This window comes from Homo sapiens, chromosome 4 (genome assembly GCF_000001405.40).
Source record: "Homo sapiens chromosome 4, GRCh38.p14 Primary Assembly".
Taxonomy (NCBI): Eukaryota; Metazoa; Chordata; class Mammalia; order Primates; family Hominidae; genus Homo; species Homo sapiens.
The window spans coordinates 78,767,707-78,781,934 of record NC_000004.12 but is presented as its reverse complement, the minus strand read 5'-3'; the positions used below and the strand labels follow the sequence as shown (position 1 = coordinate 78,781,934).

General features: G+C 41.7%; 1 protein-coding gene, 1 long non-coding RNA gene and 1 pseudogene across 7 annotated transcripts in view, besides 6 other annotated features; 1 reads left to right on the top strand and 2 right to left on the bottom strand.

Annotated features, from left to right (window-relative positions):
• Positions 1-5,585, bottom strand: part of BMP2K (BMP2 inducible kinase) — a 140,016-nt gene extending 134,431 nt beyond the window's left edge. For 4 of the 6 annotated variants that reach the window (NM_198892.2, NM_001419799.1, NM_001419800.1 and 1 more), the window contains exon 1: positions 5,214-5,585. In NM_198892.2, the coding sequence (NP_942595.1) occupies positions 5,214-5,391 (178 nt within the window). In that variant the 5' untranslated portion in view covers positions 5,392-5,585. Of the gene's footprint in view, positions 1-40; positions 4,851-5,213 lie in introns of those variants that run through there. The other 2 variants (XM_047415932.1, XM_017008381.2) reach the window with 2 other exon arrangements.
• Positions 4,456-5,086: an enhancer, noted in NCBI's record as "H3K27ac hESC enhancer chr4:79698003-79698633 (GRCh37/hg19 assembly coordinates)". NCBI's record gives its function as "activates a minimal SCP1, AML or CMV promoter by ChIP-STARR-seq in naive H9 embryonic stem cells {active_cell/tissue: H9 hESC(naive)}" and the evidence as "EXISTENCE:reporter gene assay evidence [ECO:0000049][PMID:30033119]".
• Positions 4,681-4,881: a silencer, noted in NCBI's record as "fragment chr4:79698208-79698408 (GRCh37/hg19 assembly coordinates)". NCBI's record gives its function as "represses an EF-1alpha promoter that drives an FKBP-Casp9 reporter gene in an ReSE screen in HepG2 liver carcinoma cells {active_cell/tissue: HepG2}" and the evidence as "EXISTENCE:reporter gene assay evidence [ECO:0000049][PMID:32094911]".
• Positions 5,243-5,912: a silencer, noted in NCBI's record as "silent region_15513". NCBI's record gives its function as "represses an Ori minimal core promoter by ATAC-STARR-seq in GM12878 lymphoblastoid cells {active_cell/tissue: GM12878}" and the evidence as "EXISTENCE:reporter gene assay evidence [ECO:0000049][PMID:35858748]".
• Positions 5,243-6,349: a biological region, named in NCBI's record as "NANOG-H3K27ac-H3K4me1 hESC enhancer GRCh37_chr4:79696740-79697370".
• Positions 5,719-6,349: an enhancer, noted in NCBI's record as "NANOG-H3K27ac-H3K4me1 hESC enhancer chr4:79696740-79697370 (GRCh37/hg19 assembly coordinates)". NCBI's record gives its function as "activates a minimal SCP1, AML or CMV promoter by ChIP-STARR-seq in primed H9 embryonic stem cells {active_cell/tissue: H9 hESC(primed)}" and the evidence as "EXISTENCE:reporter gene assay evidence [ECO:0000049][PMID:30033119]".
• BMP2K-DT (BMP2K divergent transcript) lies at positions 5,965-8,280 on the top strand. Its single transcript, NR_186689.1, has one exon. It is a non-coding gene; the product is annotated as a BMP2K divergent transcript (long non-coding RNA).
• Positions 6,003-6,252: a silencer, noted in NCBI's record as "silent region_15512". NCBI's record gives its function as "represses an Ori minimal core promoter by ATAC-STARR-seq in GM12878 lymphoblastoid cells {active_cell/tissue: GM12878}" and the evidence as "EXISTENCE:reporter gene assay evidence [ECO:0000049][PMID:35858748]".
• On the bottom strand, positions 13,131-13,482 carry RPS21P3 (ribosomal protein S21 pseudogene 3; annotated as a pseudogene).

The window sequence follows — 14,228 nt, the reverse complement described above, 5'->3', positions numbered from 1 at the left end:
CAAGTTTCCAGGTATCAGAGTGTCCTGGTATTCCTCATACCTCTCTAGCACCTTCTTCTTAGTCTTCTTCGCCCGCTCGAAATCAGTGGTACTCGGTACTCAAGACGTGGTTCCTGAACCGGCAGCATCTGTATCACTGAAAGAGTGGGCCTCACTCAGACATAATCAAAAGTTGGGGACCAGGCTCAGCACTTCTGTTTTACCAAATCCTCTGAATGTTTACAATGAACACTAATGTCTGAGACCAATGCACTATAGGAGTCCTTCAATGAGCACCTTCTCATTCTACACTCTCCCTACATCCATCCTCTCCCAGGGCTTTAAATAACAGCCAGGGCTCACTAATCAATCAGAAGTACCATCTCTAAGCCCAAACACCTTTGCTGAGTTCCAGACGACATACCCAGCTTCCCATTTGATATTTCCTCTCAGATATCTCATCCAAACACATCTCTAAACATGTCTGAACTACTGGCTGTCCTCCAAACACCTCAAAAAAAAAAAAAAAAATCTGTTCCTTCCTTATGTTCCCAAACGGTACTTTCACCTGAGAGATACATAAGCAAGTAATTCCTAACACTTCCTATGACCACCACAAGGTCTTCCCATTTAAGCATTATCATCTTCATCCCCACTGTCATCATTTTAACCTTATAATTTGTATACCTCTCTATACAGCAATCAGCATGATCTTGTAAAAATACAAATCAGAGCATGTCACTGCCCCAATTCAAACCCTTCAATAGCTTCCTGTTGCATTTCAGATAAAACCTAAACTCCTCAGCATGGTATACTAAGCCCCGGACCCTGGTCACCTTGCCAACATCATCTTGGATCTCTCTTACATGTGATTCATTCATTGTAGTCCACAGCTCTGAGCATATTTCAGTTTCTGAAACTTCCTTCCCTCACACAGAGACTTCAGTCTTCATGACATACTTCAAATCACCCCAACCTCACACCTCTGTTTTTACCTAACTTTCTTCATCCTTCAGGTTTCTGCTAAAAGATCAAAAAGGCCTTCCTTGACCCCCCAGTCTAAACTGAATTCTCTCATAAAACCCTGAGCATTGTCTTCACGACACATATAAAAAATTTTAACTATAGTAACTTGGTGATTTTTGTTGGCTTGTTTAGCTTTTACCTTCCACACTAATCTGTAAGTTTCATAGGCCAGAAGAATACCTCCACTATTGTCCTCTACTATGTTAAGTAGCACCTAGCAGTGCTTAGCACACCAAAGGCATTTAATGAAGTTGTGTAGTAGTAACAGTTGTTGATATTTTTATTCGATCCTTCCCTTTTTTCTATCCTCTCTATCTTCTCTTCGGAATGTGAACTTACAAGTTACTGGGCAGCCACAGATGCTTTCTGCAAATGAGATATAATGCTTAAATCTATCATTTCCCTACTAATTTATAGTGCAAAATCAGATGTATAGTACAACCTTCCTGAAAAATTAACAACGAGAACTGGCTAATACTTAGCTTATCTAAGCATTTAACTCTAAGAGAAATACTGAGCTATTTTTAAAGAACCCTGTAGTAAATTCCTGGCCTCCAATTACTAACAATCCAATAACCCCCAACACCCATCTCAGTAAATCTTACCCACATCACCATATTCACACTATCATTCCTACCCAGCCCCCATAACCTCGTGATTACATTATCTCAACAAGTTATCTCTGCTCTCCCAGTCTCAACACCCCATTTTAGGTCCATTTTGTACCAAGGACATTTAGGGAAAACAATGTCCCCTACTCAAAAACCAACTTATTATCAATCAGTATTAAATTCCTCAGACTAGCACCAAAGGCTTGTTATGGTGATGCATGTGGTCAACAAGCCAACCCCAGGTTTTAGTAAAAACTTGGAAGGTTACATTGAATTAATTATATGAGCCTGACAATTTGTCACTGTTTGAAGCTAAAACCAACATACCGCTCTCCCTCATTTCTACAGACCAAAGCTGGGATCTGCTTAGTACAGACTCCTAAACATGTTTTTGAGAAAAAAAACATGAACTGCCTCACTATGTTATCAGTCCTTTAAACTTTGAGGAGGAACTAAAAAGGTGCAAGTTCTATTTTCAAACACTTATGTGCTTGACTACAAAGACATTATGATACAAAGTATATAATGTTTCAGAGAGAAAACTTTAACAGTTTAGTTATAACATACAACCTACCCCTGAGAATCTGCTTTTCAAATTATAGACATAATATGTGCATATACATATCTACCTATAACAAAGGTTGCTCCTCATTAGTTGAGGATACTATATTTACAAATTCATCTACTCACTAACATTTATTTGTATCCCCAAAATCATTACTCATAGCACTTCCACTGTCATTGCAGACATGTGCACAATGGTGAAAAATGTGAGTCTACTGACGTGCACATTCTAGTTTCAGCTTACATAGTGTAAACAAGTGTCCTTTTCATGGTCTATTTAGTGCCATGTTTTTCTCATTTTTGTGCTTGCTATTGGTGATTTCACTGTTGAAAACAGTCCCTAAGCGTAGTGCTAAAGTGCTGTCTAGTGTTCAAGGAGCAAAGACTACAGAGAAAATACAAGTGTGAGATAATCTTCATTGAGGCATGATTTACAGAGCTGTTGGCCATGATTTCAATGTTAATAAATCAACCAAATATATTAAATAAGGTGTATTTAAACTGCAACAGACATAAAACAAGGTTGTATCTTGATCAGTTGACAAAAATGTTGTGAACAGCAGCTTTCAGGAATCTAACACCATAGTAGGAGCAGTGGTTCAGTGTTTGCTAATCCAGTTTTCACGGTGACTTTTTGCAACATAACTAATTATATAAAAATAACAACAGAGAGACGGACGGATTTATTAAAAAGACACTGCAGAGGTCATTATGAGTAAACTACCAATGTTTGCAGGAGCATGGCAAAAACACTTCAGGGCACAGTATCTACTGAGTCTTCCTGGCTCTGTTTAAACAACTTTGGGCCAAAACAAAAAATGCAAAATCTACCAAGTCTGTGCTTTGGTCTATCTTAGCTTCTACCGCTTTGCCTACTCAGTGGTATCCCTCTCCCCAAATCAAGTACTCTAAACTTGAATGCATTTTCACAAGTACATGACCCAATCTTATGATCAGGCAGACCCATCAATTATTGATTAATCACGCTTAAATGCGAACTAGACTTGTGCTTAAACATCTTGTCTAAATTGTGGCACTATTTATTAGGAAGGGAGAGGGGATATTAAGCATCTGAAATAAGACCGGCCAGGATCAAAATTAAACTGATTATACATAGACAATTCCAGTTGTGTGGGTGATGGAGACAGAAAAAATACACAAGGAAAGAAAACCTAGGCCTTGGCCTCCCTTCTAGGAAATTAAAGCTGGGGTGTAGGATGGAGAAGTTTCATCTTCTAAAAGGATTTCTTCAGTCCTTGCTTCCTCCTAGCATTTGATTATTGACTTTTCAAGAGAAATGATACATTTATGGCAAAAGTCAGTGGAACACTCTAACAGTGACATTAGCGCTTGAAATAAACTTTTATTCTTCGTTGTGGTTGAACGAACTCTCCTTTTGAAATTCATCTTTATTACTTTCCAAAATTATTTTTTTATTGAAAATGGCTTGCTTAGGGTAGTGATAAGATATGCTTAGGGTAGTGAGTAATACAAGTTACAAATTCAAAATCTAATTTGTGAAATGTCAGTATTTTTTTTCTATTAAATAAAAGACCCATCTGGGATTTAGTGGAATGAGTGAGTGTAACACTACTCAAGCTACATTTCAATTAGTTACTAAAACAATTCAAAGACAGAATATGGCATTTGAGTGAAGAGCCATGTGCTTTTAAAACCTACAACACAATCTAAACCAATAATTGAAATTCATGTGTAATAAAGAGCTAGAAAACTTTATAGTATAGTAAATCTTTTATAAAGACCACTCACCACATATTCATTCTTCTGAAAAACTAAGGATCCTCCTTCTCCCACCTCTCCAAGTTTCGGCTAAGATCATTATTCTGAGCAATGGTTCACGAAACAATGATATGTACACTTGAATAATTCACGATTTCTTTCTCTTTCAAATATTTTATACAAAAATCTTCAGGTTTTTTCCCTTGTGCTAATTTACTGTTGTGTATAGCATTTCAAAAAATACAAGCGGAATCTCAGTCTACTGTTTTCAAACCACATCAACGTCTAACGCTCGGAGAACTGAATCCACTCTTCGATTTTTTTTATCTTAACCATAGAACTTAAAAGGGCCATTTATCAACAAAAAGTATTTCTTTTAAAGTGTTTATTTTGTAGTATCATTTTGCAACTAAAAACTCAAAGGCCAATGAAGCATGCAGCACACAGGGCAAGTATTTTCTACAAGGCAATTATGCCAGAAATACAAAACTAAATTCTAAGTTCTTCTTTTAAAATGGAGTAAACTTTTTTTGTAAGTAGACTTCTACCTGCCGTCATAACCTGTTCCAGATCATGAAGGACCGACCACAAAACCTCGTTAAGTGAAAGTTAACCTGCTTTTATATCACCTTTTAAACTACTATCAAAGAGACATACTGGGAGGGCATGAATAGCACCTTGTCCAACAGAGAAGATTCTAAATAACAAAGATAAATGGGCTCCAAGTTTACCTGCTCCTCAGTGCAACCTACTAACTGAATTTAGAGCAAAGGATCACCTCCAACACGCACACATGCACACAAATACATTGTTTTTCAACAGATGACTGAGCTGCAGCAAAGCCCAGCTTGACACCAGGGGCTGCAGGGTCCTATGCCCTGCAGCGCGGGTGGAGGCTTAGATGAAAAGGCCAACGCATGACACCCGTCTGAGCCACAGCTGGCAGAACGGAGCTTCAACCCTGTTCGATCTGACCCTCTAATGAGTCACTGGCCCAATCGTAACACCAACCCACTTCCTAGCCCGTCTACTACCTATTTTCTCGCGTCAAAAAGCACAGAAAATGATTTAAACTAGGCATGAGAGAACTGTGCACCGGCCGGGGCAGCCAGCGGCAAGAAAAGCCAGCTTAAGAGAGAAAGCCCGAGCCACTCTTTAGGAGCCCCCGCTGGCCCGGCAGCAGAGGAAGAATGGGGTATAAGAGTCAGTCCGGAGGGCGAGGACCCGGAGAAGCCGCCGCCACACCCCAACCCTCCCTCACCTGCCTGTCCGAGCCTCCCCGGGCGCCCGTACCTTCGGCCAGCGACTCTTCCAGGGTGACCTGGTGGCGGCCGACCGCGAACACCCGGACCCCCACGGACGAGCCGCCGGAGCCGCAGCCGGCCCCGGCCCCGGCCCCGCCAGCCCCGCCACCCGCCGCTCCGCCGCCGCTGCCGCCCTCCGACTTGGGCATCCGAGAGAACTTCTTCATGGTCCCGCCGGCGAGCTGGAGGGCGCAGGGAGCGTGCAAGGGCAAGTCCCCGGCCCGGCGCGCAGCCGGGCGTCCGCGAGGGGTCGCCGCCCCTGGCCCGTCCGAGCGTGCTGCGGCCCGCCAAGCCTCACATTCCGCGCTCCCCAAGCGCACAGCCTGGGCCCCGCCGCCCGCTCCGCGGCTCCGCTGCAGCTGCCCGGCTCCCGCAGAGGGCGGTGGGGAGGGCGGGGACGGGGCGGGGCGCGAGGGGGCGGGTCCGAATCCAGGGGCGACGCCGCCGCCTCCGCCAGTGCCCCGGGCGTCCCGCCGCCTCACTAAGCGCCTGGAGCGCGAGCCGGGGTAGAGGAAGAGAGCGAAAGAGGCTGGGCGGCCGGCCCCTCCAGGGAGTGGGCTAGACGTCTCAGGCCACAAACCCGCAGGACCGCAGCCCGTCGCGCCGCCGCCGCCCCGGCCGAACCCGCGCCGCCCGCCACTCGTGGCCGTTGGCGGGGGGGGGGGGGGGGCGCTGCTGCCAACCGCTCACTGAGGCCGGGCGACCCGCGCAGGCGCGCTGCCCGCGCCGCCGGAAGTGACGGTTCCGGCTCTTGTCACGTGGAGGGGGACCAAGGGAGGTGATTGTGGGGGTTGGGGACTAGGGCAAAGTCGGGGGTCCCGGGTCCGGGGTTGCGCCGGGAGGGTACTGGCCAGGCCCGACTTCAAGCAGGGAGGTGGCCCGGGACTGGCTCCCGCGCTGGTCACGCACCGGGGTCCGTCATCTCGACCGGGAGTCGCTGTGCCACTCTAGGGGCTTAAAAATGCCGCCAACAACTTTACCCCTGCTGAGGAACTTCTCGCTTCGTTTCTTAGCCAGTTTTCCAGGCCTTCTCCCTTGAGAGTCTCCTTCCGCTCGCCCACCCTGAGCGTAGGAGGTGGGAGCAGGACGGAACTGGAGTGGATTCCAGTAACTGGACTTCTAAACCGGCTCGGTGTCGTCGCGCTCTGTAGCGGACGCTTGTGCTGGGAAGCGTTTTGCAGTTTATAAATTACTTAGGAGTACTTTAAACATCTCACGCCTGCTGTACCACAGCCATGTGGGGGTATTCAGAACAGGTATTAAGGTCGTTTTGCAGACCATTCATCACTCTTGGCTAAAAGAACTTAACGGAGTCGCCCAAGGTCACACAGCTGGCTCGTGGTAATTGGGGACCATTCTTTGATTCATAATTTTGTGCTTTTGGCCACCCTGAAAAAGTAAGGTCAGATCGTTGAAAAACGGGCAGATTTAAGGCTGTTTGGAAGCAAAAGCGACCACTGCGTTCCCCTCAAATCAAAGAGATTTGCACCCCCTACCAAAAAAAAAAAAAAAAAAAAAAGCCCTGTTGTATCAATTTCATAAACTGCAGGAGTCTCCCGACTGCAGGGTGAAGCAACAAAATAAATATGGGTGTAAAACATTCAGGAGTGGTAGGGAATGGCAAACTGTAGAGCCTGTGTAAAGAGAGCAGCCAATTCTCAGCTCCAGCCTACTTTTCCACAAAAGAAGATAGGCACACACACTGTGCCCAGAGGTTCCAGTTTCTTAAGAGAACCAAAAACCTGGAACTGTTTTCTAATGTGGCATTTCCCTAATTTTTAAAATATAGATCAAATAAATTGTATCTGCAGGACTCCAGTATGCACCTTCTATGAAAGTAGATGAATGTGGTTCTATCCCCACCCCTATTTCTTTATTCTTTTTAATGAGATAACGGGTAGAAACATTAGAAAATGTGCTTAGACAAAAACTTTGAACTTAAAATCCTTGTTCTTTCTTCCCTGCTATTTGAAGAGAAGCTATTTCTGCCAACACTAAAATAGTGCTCTGGATTTAGGCATTTCTGCTACATAACCCACTAAACTAAAATTCTTCATCCAGAGACCTGACGTTTAAAGTAGATTCCAGCTTAGTGGAAGTGAGATTATATGTCAGATGATTGATGTGGTGTGGCAGTTGGGGATTTCCATTTAGAAACAAGCTGACCACTTTCGTTGCTGTGGGGCTTCATTGTGGAGTCTCATTCCTAAATTTGAATTGTTTTTTAAGCAGAATAATGGAAAGATTAAGTCATTTCATGCAATTCAAAACTGGAGTCAGACAAACATACAAAGTTTGGGCCTGATATAACTTCACCTGATCACAACAAGCCTGCTATAATAAGTTTCAAAGTTAGTTTACGAGGATCACTTGAGGCCAGGAGTTCAAAACCAGCATGGTCAACATAACAAGACCTCATCTCTTTAAAAAAAAAAAAAAAAAAAATTAAAAATTAGCCAGGTATGGTGGTGGTGCACCTGTAATCCCAGCTACTCAGGAGGCTGAGGCAGGAGGATCGCTTGAACCAAGGAGTTCAAGGCTGCAGTGCGCTATGATGGCACTGGTGCACTCCAGGCTGGGTGTCTCTTAAAAACAAACAAAAGTTTGACCAGTCAAAGTGGCTTGCACCTATAATCCCAGCACTTTGGGAAGCCGAGGTGGGTGGATTGCTTGAACTCAGGAGTTCAAGACCAACCTGGGCAATATGGTGAGACCTTCCATCTCTATCAAAAATACAAAAATTAGCTGGGCTTGGTGGGGTGGCGCAGGCCTGTGGTCCCTGCTACTTGGGAAGCTGAGGTGCGTGGATCACTGGAGCCAAGGAAGTCGAGGCTGCAGTGAGCCATGATAGCATCAGCTGCACTCCAGCCTGGACAACAGAGGAAGACACTGTCTCTAAGTAAATAAATAAGTCAATTTACAATTAATGTGGTAAAGATTACTTGTATGTACCAATGTAACTTGACTTTTGATATTGAAATGTATAATTATAATAAATGTATAATTAAATGTGTAATAATGTATAGACCCCCTCTGAAAGACGAGGGTAACACCAAGCAATATGTTCTTTGATTTTTCTCACCAAGCATGTGACAAAATTTGGATATCCTCCCATCTTTATAGTACGTTAACGTCACAATATTCTGTAACACTCAATAACAAACATATAACTTAAAAATGCAAAGACTACTAACAATCAAAAACATTAGAAAGGTGTGGTAGTGCACACCTATGGTCCCAGCTACTCAAGAGGCTTAGGCAGGAGGATCGTTTGAGCCCAGGAGGTTGAGACTGCAGTGAGCTGTGATCACACCACTGCACTCCAGCTTGGGTGACAGAGCAAGACCCTCCCAAAAAAAAGCAAAAATGTTGTAGAGTATTTCCCCTCTTATCCAGGAAGGATACATTCCAAGACTCCCAGTAAATGCCTGAAAGTGAGGATAGTAACCAAACCATCTATATATAATGTTTTTTCCTATATATACATACCTTTGATAAGGTTCAGGGTTTAAGTTAGGTACAGTAAGAGGTTAACAACAATAATAAATTAGAACAATTATAACAATTTCGTGGATGGAAGATTCATTTTTACTGTAGATCTTAGCAACCTCAGCATATGATTTTTTTTAATTAAGTTGAGAACTTCACCTTTTCATTTAAGGAAAGCACTTTATGGCTTCTCCTTGGCATATTCGAATTGCTAGCATCATTATGCTTGCACTTGGAGCCATTAGTAAGTAAAATAAGATTCCTTGAACACAAGCACTGTGACAGTGGATCTGATAACTGGGAAGGCTACTAAGTGACAGGCAGAGAGTATAGACAGATATACTGGGCAAAGGGATGATTCACCTACCAGTCGGGCTACCCAGAACAGCGTGCAATTTAAAATTTACCAATTCATTTTTCTGGAATTTTCCATTTAATATTTTCAGACCATTGTTGACCACAGGTAACTGAAACTGAGGAAAGCGAAACTGTGGGGATGGGGGATTACTATATTACTAATAACAAGAAGGCCAAACATTTACAAACACTTTTATTACCAAAAGATATTAACATCTATTGTTAAATCATATTCTTCTAGCAAATTTGTGAAATAAGAATGTGTAACCTGAAATCAATTTTTAGGCAGAAATTGAGATATTAAGGGCAGACTGTAACCAGCAGAAAAACTATATTGAAATTTCTAGTCTTTCAGATTTCTTTGAGAAAATCTTATAGCCATATATTAATTTCTCACTCCTGCACCTTAAATTTATTTACTGGCTTATAGTAGATTAAGTATTGTAAAGACTTTCATTTTAATGACTCATGCAATTCTTGGACATAAAATACTCTTCATGAGTTAAAAACCTTTGTAATGCACTAGCTAGTGTTTAGAACAAACTAAAATGCTATGATGTGATCTGAAATTTCAAGAGGTACAAATACAGAAGTCAAATCCCAGACCCCAAAGCAAACTTTTCTATCAACATACAATATTAAACATGTAGTATCTTTCCTAATTAATATTAGACTATTAAAATGTGTGCTTATGATTTTAAGAGGTTCCATACATTTTAACCCTTAGCATTTTTAATGAGTCAACATAGTGAATATTTCTTTAAGTAAATAGATCTTTTCCAAATATTCTTTGTGTGTGTGTGTGTGTGTCTGGGTGGGTGGGTGGGTGTGTGGTTACAGTTTGATGATCTTCCCCAGCATATACTGGAAGGATTACTGAACCTAGTTGCATCACAGTATGTATACTCAGAGTGCCCTAATCACCATTATTTGGATTTGAAGCCAAAAAGAATGGGCTCAGTGGTTCTGAAGCAGAAATTTTAGTGAATACAAAGATGTGGGAAGGCCAGGCCTGGTAGCTTACGCCTGTAATCGCAGCACTTTGGGAGGCCAAGGCAGGAGGATTGCTTGAGCCCAGGAGTTCAAGACCAGCCTGGGCAATATAATGAAACCCATCTCTACAAAAGAACATTTAAAAATTAGCTGAGTGTGGTGGTGCATGCCTGCAGTCCCAGCTACTCGGGAGGCTGAGGTGGATCGCTTAAGCCCAGAAGGTGGAGGTTGCAGGGAGCCGAGATCACACCACGGCACCATTGCTAATGTTGAAAAATGATATGTTTCTAATGTCTATATCCAGGAAAACTCTCTTGTGTATTTGGAGTTCCATGCAGAAGGCAGTCTCAGGCATTGTTTTGGTGGAGACGTAGCTTCTGTTTCTCTTACTGACAGTCCAAATTCCAAGTTCTATGAACAGTTGTAACCTTTCTTGTTTTTTTTTTTGTTTTTTTGTTTTTTTTGCAAATGTCCAGATGCCATTCTTTGCATGTTCCCAACCACCTCCCAGTAGTACTGACCGGGTGAACCAAGATGAGCCCAGTGCACAAACTAATCTTTCAGTGCACTTTTTCAGCTTTTGTCTGATACTTCCACAATGGGCATTCTTCAGATGATCAGAAGTGATGAGATTATTACTGTGTCACCATCTCACGTCATATCCAGTTTTCTGGTTTATCATAAAAGATATACAACTCAGGGACAGCTGCCTAGATGGGATGCATAGGGCAAGGTACAGGAAGTGGTAGTGCACAAAGCATCCATACCTTCTCTGGGTGCACCACCCTCCCACCACCTCGATGTGTTCACCAACACAAAAGCACCATCTTCTAGTTTTACACTCATTATTAGACCATGGAAGAAAATCAGATGTGGCTTCCTGTCGGAAAATGAAATCTCTACCAAACAAAAAAAAAAATGTAGATTCTGGCCATCTTAAACAATGGCATTGAGGTGACTTACAGTCAAAATACAGATATAGATAGTTTAATAAAAGTAAAAGAATTATAATTTTATTTCAATTTGTTTTAGATATATCAATCATATATTTATAGCTGTATGACTATAAAAATAATTGGAAAGTTGCCACATAATGAAGACTCTTATTTTTAAAAATAGATTGCTTCCCTTTACACATTTCACGTTACACATTTCTGATAAAGTCAATACATCATCATAGCTAACTACAGGATTCTGAGATCCTTAAACAGGAAGAATTTTGACAATGAGGGAAGAAAGAATGATTGTTACATTTTGTTTTCTACTGGAAAAATATAACCTAACCCCCATGTATTTTGCATTAAGGTGGCTCTCAAAGACCTATGAGAAGTGAGAAAGAGTGACACAGATTAAATAAATGTGCTTATCCCAAAAGGCTTATTCCACTGCCACAGTGACCTTCATAAGTCATGTGTCCCAATAACTGATTAATCATTTTTCCTCATAAGTCAGTGTTTTCCTTTGATAACATGTCTTCTATCATCATTAGCCTCACTGTGTTTTACTGTTAAGAATAATTATTTTTCCTCGGCCAGGCATGATGGTTCATACCTATAATCCCAGCACTTAGAGAGGCAGAGGCACGAGGATCATTCGAGGCCAGGAATTTGAGACAAACCTGGGCAACACAGTGAGACTCTGTCTCTACAAAACATTTTTTTTAACTTTTTTAAAAGAATATTTTTCCTGGCTAACATTATTACATTATACCAAGTTAAATGTTCATGTCTTTGCTTTCCAAAAAAGTAAAAGTTCTAAGGTCTATTAAAAGAATATATATGCCTCCATTATCAAAACAAATGTTTTTAAGATATCAGTAATATTTAAATCCTCTGTTAAAACTACTCAATATCATCACTATACCTTGTAAAAATTCATATATACCTAAAAAAAATCAATCTGATTGTATAGTGCAAAATACCAAGATACTCACAAATATTCTTAACAGGAAATATGACTCATTTGACATGAAATACAATTCTATGATAGAGTTTTGACTATGCTTTTAAAACAGCTTGACCATGCTTTTAAAAAAGACTGCAGGATATAGGCATCTTCACCACCAAGAGAGGCGCTTTCTTCCTTACCCAGCAAATGGAGTGGCAGATAGGGGAGTTCTGCACCTTGTCCTCACACCTCATGACAGGGATAGCTTTCTCCCTAGAGAAGTATCTGTCCTAGAGAGTAGGATTACAAACACATTTCTGGATATGTTCCCGCCCTCCCTCTTCTTTTTTTTTTTTTTTTTTTTTTTTTTTTGAGATAGAACTTGCTCTGTTACCAGGCTGGAGTGCAGTGGCGTGATCTTAGCTCACTGCAACCTCTGCCTCCTGGGTTCAAGCGATTCTCCTGCCACAGCCTCCCAAGTAGCTGGGATTACAGGTGTGTGCCACCATACCCAGCTAATTTTTGTATTTTTAGTAGAGAAAGGGTTTCACCATGTTGGCCAGGATGGTCTCGATCTTCTGACCTAGTGATCCACTCGCCTTGGCCTCCCAAAGTGCTGGGATTACAGGCATGAGCCACGGCACCCAGCCCTCCCTCTTCTTTATAGCCCTGCATTACCTTCCTGTAGAAAGGTAGTAACCTTTCTCCTGTTAACATTTATATAAAACTTCAGCAGAGTATAAAGTAAGAACTAATTCTTATTGGGCACTTGCAATGTGCCCGTGCTACTCTAAAGTGCTTTACATGTATTAACTCAGTAAATCTTTATGACAAGACTATACAATAGCTTCTATGATTTCTCTTACTTTGCAGAAGAGAATACTGATGCACGGAAAGATTAGGTCACAAGCCCAAGGTCTTATGACTTTAAACAGGGTTCAAAAACACCTGTTATGACTTTATGGCTCATGCTTTTAACCACACCATACGGATTCTTTGAAAATACACAATAAATGACATGATAGCTACAGTCTGAAATGATAAGGTACTTCCTGCTGTACCCTCCATCTACTTATCTTAGATGTGTGCCACCACAGCTCAGGGAACCCTGCTATAATAAGTGGGATTATGTTTAATTTCTGATTAACTGGGTATTTAAAAATTTTTTTTAATTTTTTTTTAGGTTTACACTGTTTATTTATGACAAACATTCCATATCCATGATTCTCTCCTGTCAAACATGTTTTCAGATGATGCCACTGGCCTTGGCCAATCAGAGAATGTAGTCATCTGACTCACCCATCCTGCAAATGACCTTGCAGACAGCATACGTTTTAAACTAGCCATTAAACCTGCCTGTGACCTTGTCAGCCTCCACCACGTTCATCTGGATGGATGCATGGTTCTTGGCACCGGTGACGCGGTTACTAGCAGAGACTTTCTGCCGCATGTACAGGTCCACAAGCTCGCCGCTGTCCTTCTGCATCTCAAGACTGTGCCTGCTGCCACGACACTGCGTGTGAGCAGAGAAAAGAAAACAACTGAGTATCTGTAAAATTTAACAAATATTTGCTAAATATCTAAAAAGGGTAAAGCACTGTAGATTGGGGCAGCTAGGAGGACCTGAACAAGTTGAATAAAACAAATCATGGCTTCAAAGTTTATACACTTTTGGAGTGGATAAAAGTATGTACAGGACCATGTAAGAGAGACGGAGACAAATTAGGAGTGGAGATAAGGCTGACTCTAAGTTATGTACAAATGATGGGCTCTAAGGTCATATTATTATGGTGCATTGCCTTCAAGTCTCCTCCTGGCAGTATGGTTGATGTTGTGATCTTACAAACTTCTGGAGACAGAAAAGCAGCTTTTGTCGGTTTGGAAGCAAATGAACAATCCCCCTGGAAACATATTAAATTCTACCCCAATGTGTTGAACTGATACTGAAGCTCTATACATCCATGACACACATATACACATGCAAAATAATCGATTCAAGTTACTGTAGTTACTGTGGAGGGACAGAGAAGAAGAAAGTGTTGAAGTTCAATTCAGCTTTTGCTTCAATCATTTATTAAAATTTACATCTTGTTTTACCCAGCCTTCTATCAAATGTGGTAGAGACTATTAACTGAACATGAACAGTGTGCCAAGTAGTGTGTGAACCAATTCACAATAAGAACCCATACAATGTGAAAAAAATTATGGAATTTCAGAGGTGGAAAATGATATAATCAATTGGAGAAACTGAAAGGAAGCAGAATAGAAACACTTATTG